General features: G+C 49.5%; 4 annotated features.

The window, feature by feature from the left end:
- Positions 393-1,066: an enhancer, noted in NCBI's record as "H3K4me1 hESC enhancer chr14:99815225-99815898 (GRCh37/hg19 assembly coordinates)". NCBI's record gives its function as "activates a minimal SCP1, AML or CMV promoter by ChIP-STARR-seq in primed H9 embryonic stem cells {active_cell/tissue: H9 hESC(primed)}" and the evidence as "EXISTENCE:reporter gene assay evidence [ECO:0000049][PMID:30033119]".
- Positions 1,067-1,741: an enhancer, noted in NCBI's record as "H3K4me1 hESC enhancer chr14:99814550-99815224 (GRCh37/hg19 assembly coordinates)". NCBI's record gives its function as "activates a minimal SCP1, AML or CMV promoter by ChIP-STARR-seq in primed H9 embryonic stem cells {active_cell/tissue: H9 hESC(primed)}" and the evidence as "EXISTENCE:reporter gene assay evidence [ECO:0000049][PMID:30033119]".
- Positions 16,534-17,240: an enhancer, noted in NCBI's record as "H3K27ac-H3K4me1 hESC enhancer chr14:99799051-99799757 (GRCh37/hg19 assembly coordinates)". NCBI's record gives its function as "activates a minimal SCP1, AML or CMV promoter by ChIP-STARR-seq in primed H9 embryonic stem cells {active_cell/tissue: H9 hESC(primed)}" and the evidence as "EXISTENCE:reporter gene assay evidence [ECO:0000049][PMID:30033119]".
- Positions 17,241-17,948: an enhancer, noted in NCBI's record as "H3K27ac-H3K4me1 hESC enhancer chr14:99798343-99799050 (GRCh37/hg19 assembly coordinates)". NCBI's record gives its function as "activates a minimal SCP1, AML or CMV promoter by ChIP-STARR-seq in primed H9 embryonic stem cells {active_cell/tissue: H9 hESC(primed)}" and the evidence as "EXISTENCE:reporter gene assay evidence [ECO:0000049][PMID:30033119]".

Genomic DNA, 18,536 nt, shown 5'->3' with positions numbered 1-18,536 from the left:
GGAGAGGCCTTCCCCAGGTCGTGCAGGCTCAGGTGCAGCCTGGGACCCTGGTCTCCCCACCTTCCCTGACGGTGTGGCCTCGGCTTCACACTGCAAGGCCAGCTTGTCGCCTGTAGATTGTCCTCTCTGAAGTGAGCTGGGTTGTGGGACTTTCCTGGGTCCCATTTCGTTGTGATTCAAAGAACAAACCCTGGGATGGAACGGGCTCCTTCTGATGGCAGAGTGAGGAAGGTGTAACCCTGGCAAAGCCTTCCTGTCCCCTAAAAAAAGACCCAAACCCCCAACATAAAATCAAAAGAATCCCCTGTTGGGATTCCTGGGCAAATCACAGGCTTATTTGCTGCTGAATTAAAAGAAGTAAGAGTGAGCAAGTCAGAATCATTAAAAGATAGATCACTAAAGTCACATTTTTCGATGTGCCATATTAAAGAGAGCGGGGGAGCACGCCAATTGGCTTGCCATCTTCTCATTAAGTAACAGATGGCAGCTGAGTCATCGCTCCCAGCAGTCAGGACGCTGCTGGTCTGCCGCTCACTTGCTGGGGCCCAGCCACTCAGGATGAGGGGTCCGTGGGGGGCAGAGGAGGAGGGGGCCTCGCCTCCTTCCGCCTCTTCCTCTTTCATTGAGTCCCATTCCACCCACACGTCTTCCAAAGTTCTGCACAGCCGCTCCATTCCTTCTCTTGTTCACTCAACATGAACCCCCCATGTGACCAGCCCTATGTGGGGCTGGGGGACACAGCCCTTGTGTCCATGGAAGCCCCAGCCTTGTGAGGGAGTCAGAAAATGGGCCAGAACGTGGTATGGAGTCAGGTTGTGGGAGAGGGTGCCCAGGGGCTGTGGGGACCAGGAGAGGCACCCATGTTAGCGTGAGATGAGCAGGATCAGGGCCCACCCAGAACTTGGGCTTCGGGCTGTCCTCTCAAAGATCCACCAAGGCAGATCACACCGGGGACCTCTACTGCTCCAGAGGGCTGGGTATCCCTCCTTGGAATCTGCTCCTTCCTACCAAAGCCTTGCCACTGGGGGCCCTTCTTGCTTCCCCCTGTCCTGGTCACAGTCTTCAACCCACCCGCCTGCATCCCCTCCACGGAGGCTTGTGGGCACCTGCTGCCTGCCAGGCACGGGGTGGGCAGAGGCTCTTCCCTCTAGGGGGTTCCATTTAGCAGCAGAAAGGCCATGTCTGCCTTGTAGACGGTCACTCACTCGCCCTCTCCCTGACCCTGTAGACGGTCACTCACTCGCCCTCTCCCTGACCGTGTGGACGGTCACTCACTCGCCCTCTCCCTGACCGTGTGGACGGTCACTCACTCGCCCTCTCCCTGACCGTGTGGACGGTCACTCACTCGCCCTCTCCCTGACCCTGTAGACGGTCACTCACTCGCCCTCTCCCTGACCGTGTAGACGGTCACTCACGCTCCCTCTCCCTGACCGTGTAGACGGTCACTCACTCGCCCTCTCCCTGACCGAGTAGACGGTCACTCACTCGCCCTCTCCCTGACCGTGTAGACGGTCACTCACTCGCCCTCTCCCTGACCCTGTGGACAGTCACTCACACTCCTTCTCCCTGACCGTGTAGACGGTCACTCACTCGCCCTCTCCCTGACCGAGTAGACGGTCACTCACTCGCCCTCTCCCTGACCGTGTAGACGGTCACTCACTCGCCCTCTCCCTGACCGAGTAGACGGTCACTCGCCCTCTCCCTGACCGTGTAGACGGTCACTCACTCGCCCTCTCCCTGACCGTGTGGACGGTCACTCACTCGCCCTCTCCCTGACCGTGTGGACGGTCACTCACACGCCCTCTCCCTGATCCTGTCGACGGTCACTCACACGCCCTCTCCCTGATCATGTAGACGGTCACTCACTCTCCCTCTCCCTGACCCTGTAGACGGTCACTCATTCGCCCTCCCCCTAACCATGTAGACGGTCACTCACTTGCCCTCTCCCTGACCATGTAGATGGTCACTAACTCGCCCTCTCCCTGACCATGTAGACGGTCACTCACTCGCCCTCTCCCTGATCCTGCAGATGGTCACTCACTCGCCCTCCCCCTGACCATGTAGACGGTCACTCACTTGCCCTCTCCCTGACCTGCTGGCTTTGTGTTATTGCTTTCGGGGACTTGTGTGCTGACCCCACCTCTGTCGCTGTCTCCTATAGGGAGTGTGTCTCAGACCCCATCTCCATGGAACACCTGGGCAGCCGACACCCTCTCCAGAGTAGTGGCCGTGGCTGCCTGGGGATGGGGAGGGGCCGTGTTATGCAGATGACTTTTAATGAAGTCCCTTTTGAGGAGCAGTTTGACCAGCTGGGATTCCCAGTGCACAGCCCTTGGTCTCTCCTTATGGGTGTCACAGGAAAATTTAAACCCAGGCCCAACAAGCTGGACAAAGTCTCCACAGGACAGGAGACTGTGTGACTCTGATGGCAAATGTCATAACTCTGGTGTTATTGAATTTGGAAGGAAATAACGTGCCATGCTCTTGTGTGAACAGCCAGGCCCCTCTTACATTCCCATCGTGGGGACCAGTCCAGCTTCATAGGGAAAACTTGGGCTTTGGGATCCCACCTAGATTTTCACTGATCAGACCTTCATTCCTTAAGCAAGTTAAAATGATCACTTGTTTAGTTCCCGGTTGTAACTGTAAAGCTTATGCTGAGATGAGTTCTACTGTATCCCAGCATGGGAGCTGGGCACATTCCTACTTCTCTGCACCTCGAACCTTGGCCTCCTCCCCAGGCCCATGATGGGAGCAGGCCCTACGCCTGGGTGTGGGGAGGAAGGCGGGAGATGGGAAGGGGCCCCCAGGAGACCTGGCCCTGGCAGGGGTGGGACAGCAGCACTTGTACTTGCCTGTCTTGAACTGTGGGTTTCAGGTCCTAAGCACAGCAGAGAGGGGTTATTCAGAATGTCTGGGTCACCAGGATCCCTCCAGAAGCTCATCTTTGGGACATTCGCATCCAGATGTTGCCGCTTTTCCATGGCAGTTTTCTGCCCTCAGAGCAGGCGTTGTGGAGGTGTGTGTCTGACACTGCCTGTCATCAATTGGTAACGGGCGGCCCCATTTGACTCCCCACAACTGCCTGAGAGTTCCTGTCTGACCTGAGACTCCAGGCTGCCTGCCCCGGCCTTCACAGGCTCTTCTTGTCTGCAGGATAAATTATGAAATTCCTTGCATATTTTGGTGCAGCAACATCTGGTCTCCTTGATCTGCAGCCCCTGATGAATGGGTGTCAAGGTCTCTTTCCTGTCTACCTCGCTGGCTCGTATTTTCCACCTGTTTGAAATCAATATTCTCCCATGTAAATTGTGACATGCCCTCTGCACCATGCTGCGGCCCGGTTTTCCTCCAGACAGCTCCACAGAGCAAAGGTTGGCCAGTGGGTGCACGACCTGCTGGCCTGGTCTGCAGAATGGCTCCTGGGGTCTCAGCTGGGGCAGTACTGTGCCAGTGGGCATGTGGTTTCTCAGCTTTCTCCCATCACCTGGATGTCCGATTGACACCTTCCATTTGGCACGTCCAAAAAACTCATCCTCCTCAGACACCTACAATTCAGCATGTCCAAAAAACATTCCCACTCCCCACATCTGCTCCTCTCAGCTTTCTGATCTCTGTGAAAGTCCCCACCACCCAACCAAGAAAACTATGTGCCTGCAACCCCTGTTAGCTTTATGGACTTGCTTCCTGAAACCATTTAGAATGCTCTCTCTGGTTTCCACCCCCCACCCCCCGTTAGCGCTTGGGAAGACTGTTGGAAGAACTCTCATTCCCCTGCCGCCAATCTTGTTCCTCCCTAAGCTCTCCCCGAGATGGCCACAGGAAGCATTTTTCTATGATATGGATCTTGTAATTTTTCTCCCTGTGGCTTTCCTTTGTCTTAAAGATGGAGCCTGGGCTTCTGCCTATTTCCTTGCCCCTCAGCACGGCAGCTCTCCCTCCTCCTGGCTCTAGGTTGGGCATGCCATCTCTGCTCTCTGCTGCCTGAGACTTCAGTGCCTCCCGCTTTCCAAACCACAGCCCTTTCCCAACTTCATCAGGATTTCTCCTGTGCCTTGTAGATGCTTCCAGTAAATGACCTACCCATTGTCTGCGTCAGAGAGAGCTGAGTGTGCACCAGAGCTCATGCCCTCCTCCTTCTGCATGGGGTTGTGGCTGAGAAGAGATTTTCCCAGCTCTCTCTGCGTCCCAGAGGAGCCTGGTGACCACCTGTCCACCTTGGTTCTGCAGGGAGCAGTGGCATCGCTTCTGGGCAAGGGCTGATGGGCCGGGCTTTCCAGCCTGTCCCTTGCCCTTTCACGGGCTTGACACTGCCACACATAGTGGCCGCAGCAACCTTCCTGGAGAAGATGCTGGAGCCAAGGGCCAGCAGGACTCTGGGGTCTCAATCAAAACTTTGAGGAGTGCTGCCTGCTGCCCAGAAATGCCCATCTGGGGCTTTTCACAAGCGAGAGGTAAACTTCCAGCTGTACATTTTCAGCTGCATTTTTGGCAGCAGCTAACGTTACCCTAAACCAAGGAAGGGTCAGTGAACCACAACCCATAAGCCAAATCTGGCCTCCAACCTATTTTCGCAAATCAAGTTTTATTGAGGCTGAGTGCAGTGGCTCATGCCTGCAATCCCAGCGCTTTGGGAGGCCAAGGTGAGAGGATTGCTTGAGCCCGGGAGTTGGAGGCTGCAGTAAGCCATGATTATGCCACTGCACTCCAGCCTGGGTGACAGAGAGAGATCCTATATCTAAAAAAATAAGGCTCGGCGTGGTGACTCATGCCTGTAATCCCAGCACTTTGGGAGGCTGAGGCGGGCGGATCATTTGAAGTCAGACCAGCCTGACCAGCATGGTGAAACCTCGTCTCTACTAAAGATACAAAAAATTAGCCAGGTGTGGTGGCACGTGCCTGTAATCCCAGCAACTCGGGAGGCTGAGGCAGGAGAATCGCTTGATCCTGGGAGGTGGAGGTTACAGTGAGTTGAGATCACACCATCACATTCTAGCTTGGGTGACAGAGACTTCGTCTCAAAAAAATAAAATACATAAATAAAAATAAAAAAATTAAATACCAAATCAAGTTTTATTGGAACACACATCTATTGATTTGCCTGTTGTCAATAGCCACTGTCACATTCCCATGGCAGAGCTGAGTAGCTGTGATAGACTGTGTGGCCCGCAAAGCCAAAAGTATTAACTGTCTGTTTGCGGGAAAAGCTTACCAACTGCTGCTTTACATGAACGCCCTTTTCTGAATTACTGATGGCTGCATTTTATTCCTCTGCTGACTGAACCCTAGTAATTATGGTTCTCATTCACTAACTCATCTGCACAAAGCACCGAGCATGGTGTCGGTCACAAAAGAATGGTTCGCGGGCACTGCTCAGGGGATTGTGTTTGACCGGCACGTTGTTGATGAGTGACTGAGTAGAAATGTAAACCTCATTCATTCAGACTTAGCTAGCGCAGAAAGTCCGACCATCTGGATGAGGGCTGACTCTTCAAGCACCCTGTTGCTTGGTGGAAGAGGTAACGGTAAAGTGGATCAGTCCCTTCTCCCTTCTCCTCGCCATCATCCAGAGCTTTCTGAGAAGCCCTGAGGACGTTGCAGCTCCCGGCCCTCAGAGCCAGCAGACATGCTGCCCAGGGAATGCAGCCGTGACCTGCGGAAGTGGTGGCAGCAGCCGGGCACACTGAGGTGCCTCTCGGGGAGAGGGAGGTGATGCCAGGCACATGGGCTGTGTATGGTGGAAGGGCCCAAAGCGGGAAGGGGAAAGGGGGGACACCCATGGCTGCCCAAAGCTGTTGTTTCTGTGCATAAGTCTATGTAAGACCCTTCTAGGGAAGTCCAAAAGGTCTGTGGGCTGGAGGGCGTGTGTGGTGTGTGTATGCCTGTGTGCAGCAAGGTGACTTTATTGGGGGCTGTGTGTCCACGTTAGGAGTTAGGAGCAAGAAACTGCAACCTGGGGCCCACATTCGCTCATTAAATGAATGTATCTGTGGTGCTTGCAACAGCCTTCGAGGTCTTGTGTGGGTCATCTTGGCGCCCAGTGAGGAAGCAGGGGCTGCCCCTGTTCTCCAGGTCTCAGAGTCTGGTAGGGGTTTAGGATAAGGGCCATTGGTTCCCTTTTGGCTTAATCCATCTCCACCACCACCACCACCACCACCACCACCACCACCACCACCACCACCACCACCGCCACCACCATCACCAGGAAACTCATGTTTTTGGTGGGGGGGAAAGAAAGTCTACTGAACACAATAAAATGTAAGGAGAATATTTGATTTGCTGTCTGGGATTTTTAAGCAAAGATACATATAATTAGTGGGTGCTGCTGTAGATGATGTGGCCAGGCCGATGAAAGTTGGAAGCATGTATTTGCAAGGCTGGAACATGGTTGAAATGGAATCCATTCAGTCCTTTGGAATATGGAGTGACGTCCTGGCCCCACTCTCACCTTCTTGAGGGTCTTGGTGCTGCCACCTGACCGTGAGGCCTCTGTGCAGAACCGGCCTTGTAGGGTGGGAAGAGGTGGGAGGAGGGGTGACTGACTGGCTTGTGACTTGTGGTGGGGGTTGCAGGTTGAAACAATAAGAATGAGGAGCGGCATGAGGACATGGATGTGGCAGGAATGTAATCATCATCTTTTTCCTTTATGTAGTGAGCTGTCCAGATCCAAGTGCTCATTCTGTTAGTCTCCAGGGAGGTCTTCGATTGTCTTTGGGGACAAGTGCTTCCTGGCTCTTCTGCCTTTGCCTCTGCCCCGGCCTGGCAGAGCCCCTTCCTTCACTGTCTTCTAGAATGCTCTGGTCCCTCCGTCTCCACTTTGACCCGACTCTACTGTCTGTACCTACAGCTCAACTGAGCTTCTCCTGTGTGTCGGGTCTGGGCCTGGCCAACTCTGAGCCCCACCCTGGCTGCCCCCTGCATCCACCTTATTCACAAGCCTGGCTCTTCTTGGCTTCCCCATCCCAGATCTCGTGGGAGTGCTCCCCCAACTTGTGAAATGCTCGGTGATCCCTCACCAGCCTTCCTGGAACCCCATCAGTGTCACCCAGGACATTGCGTAGAGCCCCATCACATTCCGTAGGACAATAGCCAAGGTTAAGAAACCCTGACAAAATTCCACAGTATTCTATGAAGTCTTGTTTTGTATCATCCCCCTAGAGGATAGTCTTCATGGGTTAAAAGAATACAATGGTTAGGGGAAAGGGAGGGATGGGGGAGATTTGTTAAAGGATACAAAATCACAGCTAGTTAGGAGGAATAAGTTCTAGCATCCTAGAGCACTGTGGGATGACTATAGTTAACCATAATACTTTGGCCAGGTGTGGTAGCTCATGCCTGCAATCCCAGCACTTTGGGAGGCTGAGGTGGGCAGATCTCTTCAGCTCAGGAGTTTGAGACCAGCCCGGGCAACATGTTGAAACCCCATCTCTACAAAAATACAAAAATTAGACAGGCATGGTGGCACGTGCCTGTAGCCCTGAGGTGGGAGGATCTCTCGAGCCCAGGAGGTTGAGGCTGCTGTGAGCCATGATCACGCCACTGTGCTCCAGCCTGTGTGATAGAGTGAGACCTTGTCTCAAACAAAACAAAACAAAACCACAAAAACCCAGTAATACATTGCGTAGTTTCAAGTAGCTAGAAGGAGGATACTGAATGTTACCAACACAAGGAAATGATAAACGTTTGAGGTGATGGCTGTGTTAAGTATCCTGATCTGATCACTCCACATCATATGTATTGAAACATCCCTATGTACCCCATGAGTGTGTACAATTGTTATTTGTCAATTAAATAAATTAAATTTAATTTAAACATAAAAATTAAAAATACAATGATTAAAGAGAGTGCTGGAGTTAAAATGGACAGATGGCTTAGGATCCACTTCTTTCCACCTACCTAAAATGATTTACAATTCAAGTGGGCCAAGATGGACACATACGTGAGCTACAGCCAGAATGAGTAAGACAGATGCCTCCTCTGGGAATATTTATTCATCACATGGCACTTAGAGTCAAATAAAACACAAATGCAATAGCTTAGTGGGCAATCCTAAATACTACGACACAGCAAACACTCTCCTATCTTCCCCCACTACCACTGTGGAGTCTGAGAAAGGGAGCTAGAAGCATCAGTGCCTCAACATGGCCAGTCCAGGCTCTGCGATCAGAGCACTCAGGACTCCAGCACCAGCCCTACCAGCCTTCCAGAGCATTTTAGGCTCAGGTGAGAGACTATCTGGTTGATGGAAATGACAACACACGAGCTTCAAGGAGTTTTCAGGATCATCGGTGGTCCAGCCTCCCGTGGAACAAGGAGACACTGAGGCCAGAGAAAAGTGGCTCCTCCATGATCACAAGACTGGAGTCTGTATCTCTTGATTCTCTATCCAATTAACTAAAAGCGCAATTTTAAGAAAAGCCCACCTGTGCATGTGCCTAGCGTCTGACAGTTGGTAAAGCATTATGCTTGGATCCTAATGAAATTCTGCGAGGTAATCAGGGTGGAGACTTTCCTTTTCATTTTGCTGATGAGGAAGCAGAGGCATGGAGAGAAGACCCGGCTCCTTGGAGATGGAGCCTGAGGTGCAGAGGCACAGCTGTCCCCGGATGCCTTCTTCCTCGTCCTTCCCCAGCCGGTGCTTCTTTCCCCATTTGGCTCATGCCCATCCCTGCTGACCTCTCTGCAGAGAAGATGACACTCAGAGCTGGATGGCACTTTGAGATCAGATAGTCCAGAGGCTTCATGTCACAGATGGGGGCACAGACTTGAAGGGACAGTCATTGACCTGGCCAAGATTCCTCAGGTTTCTAGGGTCCAGTCCTTGGGTGCCAGTCACTGTTCCTTCCATCAGTCCACATGTCCAGCTCCATCTCTGTTCCCTCAGAACAGACATGGAGGACTTTGGGACACTTGGTTTGGCACTTTTTTCCCAGGACAAATTGATTTCCCCATCAATCCTGGGACCACCTGGTCCCACCTCCTCATGCCTTCTGCTCTGGTGGCTGCATTTGCTTTTCTGCCATTTTCCTCATTTGTTGAATTAGGAGGTGGGCTCCAGGGGTTGGAGCAAGCCTCTTGGAGTGACAGTCATCAGGATATCCTTGATGGGCCCTGCTTCCTTGGGGACTGGCTTATCTGTCTTTGGGAAGAATGATTTCCCACCATCTTCCTGGTCGAATGGCTGCAGGAGTTCATTTCCCACTTTTGTAGCTCTGAGACGCTCTCATTATTATCTCCCTCTCGGAATCCTAATGATGAGTTCCATTGCTGTGCCACCTTGGCCAAGTCCTTCCCTCTCTGGCCTCATTCTTCATCTATGTGTGTGTGTGTGCATGTGCACACGTGTGACCTTTAAGTGCCCATCCAGGTTTTGTAGTTTAGGGTATGGGACGTTTTCACATCTAGGATGAGTGTCGTGCTAGAGTGAAGGATTCACATATGCAAATGGATCCCAGTTTGCCCCATCACACCCTTTGGTGAGGATTCCCCAGAAAATAAGGAACTCAGATCCTAGGAACATTTATACCAAGTTCAGTACTTCCTTAGACAGCTGATGCTTTCTCTTCCAGCAGCTCAGGATACAAAATGAACACACATTTCTTTTAGTAGTTAAACTAATCAGATTCAGGGCCCCTCATCTCTGGGCACAATCCAAGAACTCTGGGTGCGGATGGAGCCTAGGCACTGGCCCCCATGTTCCCACTAAATGTCACTCAGACACTCCTCCTTGAAGCTGAAGGTCTTCAAAACTGCTACTAGAGAAGGACGGTCCCACAGCAGGATGGACTGGAAACCCTCGTCACAGCTTTTTAGATTATCCTTTTTTTTTGTGCCAGGGTGGCTGAATCAGACTATTCCAGAAACAAGCCCAGCCTCAAGAAACCTATCAAGATTAAACTGGCAAGATCTCTTGCTCTACGATACTTTTCCCTCTAGGAAGTCCCTGGAATCTTCTCCTGCCAGCTGATCTTAGATGGCCATCTCAGCACCTTGATTTTTAGCTCTCATTTTAACTATCAAAAGAAGAAATATATCTCCTAGTTTTCCTTGCAGCTAAGTAAATAACTTCTGTCCAAGGAAGTATAAGCAGAAGTGTCCTGTGTGACTTCCAGGAAGTCATCTCTGAAAAGGAGGAGCTTGCCCTTCTTCAATCCTTCCTCTCTCCTGCTACCTGGAATGTGGATGTGATGGCTGGAACTCTAGCAGCCATCTTAGATCATGAGGGTCACTCCTTGCTGATGGTTCAGCAGCAAGCTAGAAAGAGCCCACGTTCCTGAAGGCCATGTGTCTCTTGCATCAGTCCTGCATTTCGTACTTCTGGATCTCTTCAAAGTGAAAAAGAAATAAGTTTCTCTTGTATTTGAGTCACTGTTATTTTGGGTTTTCAGTCACATGTGGTTGAACATGATCCCAACTGATACACCAGGCAAGCTTGATTTCTAAACAGAGATGAAGTCTGAGGGTATTTGCAGACCTCATATGTTCCCGTCCCTGTGGCAGCCATGAAGCCTGTCTTCTGTAAGGGGACACACAGATCCTTGTGTACCTTGCTTAAGAACAAGAGACAATAGTTACAATCTGTTAATCCCATCTGTTTTCCATAAGAAGGAAAAACAGTTATATGGTGGTGACAGAAATGCTAGGCTAGATAGAGGGGTTTTCCAAGTCCCCCATGACAGGGACACTGGGGACGGAGGGTACACAAAGAGGAGACACTCGTGGAACCTACTTAAAAGGGATTTATTATCTGGTGCTGATAGAGTTTATAATTTTCAAAGTCCATCCTCATTCATTATAACCACATTAACTCCTGCCTCTCTTTCTCTTACCAAGTACTTCCGATGACAGCATTGTTATTCTAATTTTACAGATGGTAAATTTGAGGTTCGGAGGTGGTACGGCTTGCCCAGATAGTAAATGGTTTGGCAGGTCTGCCGGCTGTATTTTATTTTGCTTTATCTTAGTGGAGGAAGAATCGTCTAGCAACCAAATATCTAAGACTTTTCAGAAAAATTCCAAGCTCATCAAGTTGGTTTTTCCCCTCCCAAACCACACTTGCTATGGACACACCCCACGCACTAAGTTTTAATTTGGAAAATATATTGGTCATAGAAAAAAAATACCTTTAAAACTCATTATCCTACAAAGTAGCTGGTGTTTCAGAGAAGGATGGAGAAAGTTCTGGGTTCAGAGGAAGGAGCAAGTCAGAGGGCTTCTTGGAGGAGGTGATCTTTGATCAAGTATCGAAATAACACTGAACTGAGATGGAGTAATGCTCTCTGGAGATAGAGAGTAGGTGATGAGAGGAGGTGATGCTGAGATCATCATGGAAGGTAGGAACATTTTGGGAAGAGGAAACAGCATATGAAGTACAAAGACAAGGGGCTCAGGTATATATATCTAAAAACCACATGCACACATATGCATGCACACGCATGCACGCACACACTTGCACACACACATGCATGCATGCATGCACACACATGCACACACACACATGCATGCATGCATGCACGCACCCTGCCCTCACACAAGGCAAATATATGTCAGACTAATTCCAATTTAAATGAAAAACCCCAAGATTTTCAGTGTTACTAACAGATTAAGTAGATCCCAACCACGAGGCTAAAAAGGTCTGGTGAGTGAAATAAAAGTCTAATCTACCATGTGGGTATAATACTTAAACTTTGTAAGGCAAAACTATTTGAAATATTTGGAGTAAGTGATAGAAATTCATTGTAGGGAGAGCTTGGACACATAATTTTTTTTTTTTTTGAGATGGAGTTTCACTCTTGTTGCCCAGACTGGAGTGCAATGGCGCGATCTCGGCTCACTGCAACCTCCGCCTCCCGGGTTCAAGAGATTTTCCTGCCTCAGCCTCCTGAGTAGTGGGGACTACAGGCATGCACCACCATGCTCAGCTAATTTTGTAATTTTTTTAGTAGAGACAGGGTTTCTCCATGTTGGTCAGGCTGGTCTTAAACTCCTGACTTCAGGTGATCCACCTGCCTCAGCCTCCCAAAGTGCTGGGATTACAAGCATGAGCCACCGAGCTCAGCCAACACATCATTTTTAAGGAATGAGAAATCAACAGATAAAAAAATAAGGTAATGGAGATTTTAACGGTATAATCAATAACGTGTCTTCTTTTGCGCACACAAGTAAAGAATGCACCTCATTTTCACCTTATTTTCAAGCATCCATGGGACACTGACCAGAACCGAGGATACACTGGTCATGAACATCCTATTGTGTCCCAAAAAACATACGTTGCACAGATCACATTTTCTGATCAAAACAAAATTAAACGATAAGTAACTGTAATTTTTTTAAAAAAATCTTCTTAACTGCTGAAACACAGAGGAACAAAATACAATCTACAGAATATTTGGAAAGTAATGAAAATAAAAACACTATTTCTTATAAGAATAAAGCCATTCCTCAAGACAGTCATAGTATTAAATGCATTGTTTACCAAAAAGAAAGCTAAAACGTGTATGATTTAAACATTCAACTCAATAAATTAGAAAAGGAGGGAAAAGCAATCCTAATAAAATTAAAGAAGATGAAGCCAAACTCAATATAGAAGAAAACAGAGTTGATAGATAAATGTGAGCTAATTTGAAAAATGAAGGAATTTCAATAAACTGGTAACTCTAGTTAAATAAAAAGTTGCAAAATATACATAACACAACAAAGGGAATATACTTGCAGAGTTGATTTACAAAAAGAATAACATATATGTAATAATTATGCTAATGCTTTGAAAATATCAATGAAAATAGGCAATTATCTGGAACACTATAAATTATCAAAAATCTTGAGAATGGCAGGGCGTGGTGGCTCATGCCTGTCATCCCAGCACTTTGGGAGGCTGAGGCGGGTGGATCACCAGAAGTCAGGAGTTCAAGACCAGCCTGCCAACACGGCAAAACTCCGTCTCTACTAAAAATACAAAAATTAGCCGGGTGTGGTGGTGGGTGCCTGTAGTCCTAGCTACTCAGGAGGTTGAGGCAGGAGAATTGCTTGAACCCAAGAGGCGAAGGTTGCAGTGAGCCAAGATCGTGCCACTGCACTCCAGCCTGGGCGACAGAGCGAGATGCTGTCTCAACAACAACAACAACAACAACAAAAACTTGAGAAGATACACAAAACTTTAATAATTATATAACTCACTAAAATTTTCATGAAAATATTTTCAAAAGAAGGTTTCAGGCCAGATAGTTTGTTTTTTTTTCGTCTCCTCTGACTCAGGTAGTTTTAAATATAGGTTATTTAGAATATTCAAGGAACAGAGTGTGTATATATATATATATATATATATATATATATATATGTATGTGTGTGTATATATGTATATATAAATATAAATATAAATAACTCTTCCACAGTGTAGAAAAGATCAACGACCCAGGGCTGGGTGCGGTGGCTCATGCCTGTAATCCTAGCACTTTGGGAAGTCAAGGGGGGCAGATCATGAGGTCAGGAGATCGAGATCATCCTGGCTAACACAGTGAAACCCCGTCTCTACTGAAAATATGAAAAAACTAGCTAGGTGTGGTGGCGGGTGCCTGTAGTCCCAGCTACTTGGGAGGCTGAGGCAGGATAATTGCTTGAACCTGGGAGGTGGAGCTTGCAGTGAGCTGAGATCGCGCCACTGCACTCTAGCCTGGGCAACAGAGAAAAGACTCTGTCTCAAAAAAAAAAAAAAAAGAAAAAGAAGGAAAGATCAATGACCCAAATAATCTTGCAAAGTTAAAATAAGCTCATCACCAAAAATCTACCAAAGTTGACCCTTGAATATAATGATGGACCCATCTCACCTGTGAACATAGATGTAAAATTTCTAAATAAAATACTTACCAGTCAAATTCAATAGCATGTTAATTATTCATCAAAGTCCAGTAGACTTTGTCTCAGGAATGTAAGAATGGTTTAATGTTAAAGAAAACCTATTAGTATAAGAAATCACATCCACAAATTACATAAGAAAAAACATACATGATTATCTGAAAGATACCTAAAGGCATTTAATCAAAATGAACATATATTCCCAATCTCAAATGATATCATTTAACATCAGATACTTTTTCCTAAGTGCTGGCTGCTGTGCTAAGTACTTGACGCGGTTTATATTATTAAATATTCACAGCAATTACTTGAGTGGGGTCCACTCTCCTACAAGGGATCAATTCCTCTATCTGCGTACTAAGTCCTGTCTCCCGCTCTTCCTAGGGACCTTATATTCAATCAAGGCCTCCCCTCCTACATGTTTGTCTTCTTCTCCCCCCAACATCTGGCTCCTTCCCACTCATATTTTTATTTATTTATTTACTTAGACAAGGTCTCACTCTGTTGCCCAGGCTGGAGTGCAGTGGCACAATCACAGCTCACTGCAGCCTCGACCTCCTGGGTTCAGGAGATCCTCCCACCTCAGCCTCCCGTGGAACACAGGGATGCACCACCAGGCCCGGCTAATTTTTAAATTTTAATTCTTTGTAGAGACAGGGTTTCACTATGTTGCCCAGGCTGGTCTCAAACTCCAGGCCTCAAGCAATCCTCCCGTCTCTGCCTCTCAAAGTGCTGGGATTACAGGTGTGAGCTACCGTGCCCAGCTTCTCATTAATATTGTAATAAACATAAGAACTTTCTGAAAAGTCTCCCTTGAACCCATATGATCTTCCCATGAACCCCCCTGCTTTTCCTTCCCATGCAGCTCAACTTGAAAGTCTTTACACTCCTCCCAAATCTTCTTCTAGAAGTCACTGGCGACTTGCCATTATCGTTGGCATCATGCACATAATGGCACTCTCAGGGGCTGCAGCCCTGCCCTGGGAAGGTGAATAACAAAGGAACATGTGTGAGTACTGGGGAGGCTGAGTTTTGTTTACAAAGATGCTCCCTAAATGTAGTGGCTTAATGAAGACGCAGAGTGGCATTTTCTGCGTTGGTCCTGAGTGAGCCGTCAAGCTTAGTGGGCAGTTTTGCTCCTGCTGGTGACTCAGGGATTCAGGATCTTCCTTTCATCATGTCTGTTACTAATGACAGCAATAATCCCTCTTGTACAGATGGTGTTTTTTTATTTTGAAAAGCTTGGACATTTTACAAAGGCCAGGGACCCCCATGAGCTATTTATTATTATCCCACTTATGTAGAGAACAAGATTGGAGCCCAGACATGGTCAGCAAGCAGACCAGCCTCACACAGCCAGAAAGAGGGAGAGCTGGGAGCTGAGACTGGAACACAGGTCCTCTGGCTCCGGGTCCTGCCGCTTTCCCCTAAATCACACAGCTTCTGACGGCAGGTCGCCTTTCATAGGTTTACAAGCCTGCCTTCCTGTAACCCCTGGTTGGTGGAACCCGCCAGCAGGTGCTTTCCTTAGATTGGAGGTTCAGAAAGTCTCTTTGGTTTCTGGAACTCTCTTCCCTCTCCCTGGAGCTTTTCCAGTGGGCTCGGCAGCCCCCTCTGATAGGTATTCAGGATCTTGCCAAGAACCTTTCAAATGTTCCATGGGAAAAGGCCAGACCCGTTCACTGGGCTCCACGCTGGCCAGATACCGCCCTCTTACATGCTGCATAGAAATAAAACACGGAGGTGACAAGCAGCTTGGAGAAGTTGAAATGTCAGCGCGACACTCTGAAGTCTCCTCCGAGCATGTAACTCGGAGATGGGAAAGGTTGCCCAGAAAGCAAACTGTTAGATAGGAACTGAGGGAGGTTCCTCGTCTGGGTTCTCAGAGCCAGGAGCGCCAGGAGCTCCAGGAGAGGCGGCTTTGATGCCAGGAGCCCACCCCGACTCTCAGGCAAGCGTCAGTGAGTGCCGAGTGGCTGGCTCCCCCGCCCCCCGTGCTCTGGCCTTGCCAAGCCACTTGTGGCTCCTGGAAGCTCTCACCCCTCACCTCCAGCATCCCCCTTCCTGAATGGCCTCCTGTCCTGCTGTCCGCTCAGCACTGCCAGGGCAGTCTCCCCCAGACCTGGGGCTCCCCAGGGACAGAGACTGCACCTTGCAACCCGAAGGACCTAGATGGGGCTCTGGCACAGAGGAGCTCAATCAATATTTGTCCAATGAACAAATGCCACTCCCTGGAGCTCGTTGTTCTGGGTGAACCAGAGGCCAAGCCTTCATGTCCTTCCCATCGCCAGCTGGTAGCCCGAAGAAAAGGCCACCTGTGTCCAGGTCGCAGGGGTAAGGACAGCAGGCTACTGCTTCACTGGGCCTGGATTTCCTCATCTGCAGAATGGTGGGGATGGGTGACCCCAAGGGTATCTCTCAGGACCAACTCTGTGTGCCCAAATGTGAAGCCACCTGAACTGTCCTTTCTCCTCGCAGGTGTTGTCATGGAAAGCCTCACCCTGGCCCTCTGGTCTCCTCTTAGATTTGACTTTTCCTAATTTTCCAGCCTTGACTTTGGCTGTTCCTCTATGTCCATGACCCTCTGCTCCTTCCAGATGTCAGAAGGGGCCTTGCAAGTGAGGAGCCCCCGAGCTCAAGTTCTTCTGGCCTCGCAGAAAACTCACTGGTGAGCAGCGTCCATGCATGTGTCTCTGTGTGCTGGCATGTGCAGGCATGTGTGTATGCTTGTGTGTGTCTGTGTGCTGGCATGTGCAGGCATGTGTGTGCGCTTGTGTGTGTGTGCTGGCATGTGTGGGCATGTGTGTGTGTCTGTGTGCTGGCACGTGTGGGCATGTATGTGTGCTTGTGTGTGTGTGCTGGCATGTGCAGGCATGTGTGTGTGCTTGTGTGTGTCTGTGTGCTGGCATGTGCGGGCATGTGTGTGTGCTTGTGTGTGTGTGTGTGCTGGCATGTGCGGGCATGTGTGTGTGCTTTGTGTGTGTGTGCTGGCATGTGCGGGCATGTGTGTGTGCTTGTGTGTGTCTGTGTGCTGGCATGTGCGGGCATGTGTGTGTGCTTGTGTGTGTGTGTGCTGGCATGTGCGGGCATGTGTGTGTGCTTGTGTGTGTGTGTGTGCTGGCATGTGCGGGCATGTGTGTGTGCTTGTGTGTGTGTGTGCTGGCATGTGCGGGCATGTGTGTGTGCTTGTGTGTGTGTGCTGGCATGTGCGGGCATGTGTGTGTGCTTGTGTGTGTGTGTGCTGGCATGTGCGGGCATGTGTGTGTGCTTGTGTGTGTCTGTGTGCTGGCATGTGCGGGCATGTGTGTGTGCTTGTGTGTGTCTGTGTGCTGGCATGTGCGGGCATGTGTGTGTGCTTGTGTGTGTGTGTGCTGGCATGTGCAGGCATGTGTGTGTCTGTGTGCTGGCATGTGCGGGCATGTGTGTGTGCTTGTGTGTGTCTGTGTGCTGGCACGTGTGGGCATGTGTGTGTGCTTGTGTGTGTCTGTGTGCTGGCATGTGCGGGCATGTGTGTGTGCTTGTGTGTGTGTGTGTGCTGGCATGTGCGGGCATGTGTGTGTGCTTGTGTGTGTGTGTGCTGGCATGTGCAGGCATGTGTGTGCTTGTGTGTGTGTGTGCTGGCACGTGCGGGCGTGTGTGTGCTTTGTGTGTGTGTGCTGGCACGTGCGGGCATGTGTGTGTGCTTGTGTGTGTGTGTGTGTGCTGGCACGTGTGGGCATGTGTGTGTGCTTGTGTGTGTGTGCTGGGATGTGCGGGCATGTGTGTGTGCTTGTGTGTGTGTGTGTGCTGGCACGTGCAGGCATGTGTGTGTGCTTGTGTGTGTGTGTGTGCTGGCACGTGTGGGCATGTGTGTGTGCTTGTGTGTGTGTGTGCTGGCATGTGCGGGCATGTGTGTGCTTGTGTGTGCATGTGCAGGTCCCACTCTGGGCTCGTTCAGAAGCAAGAGGAGATATCCCGGCAGGCAGGTGAAGGCCTTGGTAACCAGACATCCTGCTGTCATCGCTATTCACCTTTCCTTTTAATCCATTTTTAAAGTATTGATCGTCATGTCTGAAAATGCTGGAACGGCAGCCCCGGATCTCTGAGCCAAAGAGCTGTGTGAACTGTGAAAACTGTCTACCCCGTGTGGGAGGCGGAGATGGTTTCCTATTTTAATCCTCTCTAAGACTCCAAAGGTTAGTGGTTTATGTAGATCAAACTGCAGGGTCGCACATGAGCCCTTTGCAGATGTTCTTGGGGGGCTGACTCTGGGAGACTCCTTTTCCAACTGGCCTAGCGACCCCTTGAACAGATGTTCCCAACTTGGCGTCTCCTCCCTCGTGAGAACCTCAGAGCTGCAAGGAAACTTAAAAAGTTCCAATTCACAACATGGTGAAACCCCGTCTCTACAAAAAATCCAAAAACTTAGCTGGGCATGGTGGTGTGTGCCTATAGCCCCAGCACTCAGGAGGCCGAGGTGGGAGGATTGCTTGAACCTGGGAAGTCAAGGCTGCAGTGAGCTGTGATTGTGCCACTGCACTCCAGCCTGGATGACAGAGTGAGACCCTTTCTCAAAACAAAAAAACAAAAAACAAAAACCTCACTCAGTTCAGTGAGAGTGGGTGACATGTCCAAGGTCACATGGGAACAGAAATGTAAACCCAGGTGTGTCTAGCCCCAAAGAGGGAGGAGAACAAGTGGAGGGT

The sequence above is a fragment of the Homo sapiens genome, chromosome 14 (assembly GCF_000001405.40).
Source record: "Homo sapiens chromosome 14, GRCh38.p14 Primary Assembly".
NCBI lineage: Eukaryota > Metazoa > Chordata > Mammalia > Primates > Hominidae > Homo > Homo sapiens.
Note: the sequence above shows the minus strand (reverse complement) of the source record. Positions and strands in the feature narration are given on the sequence as shown.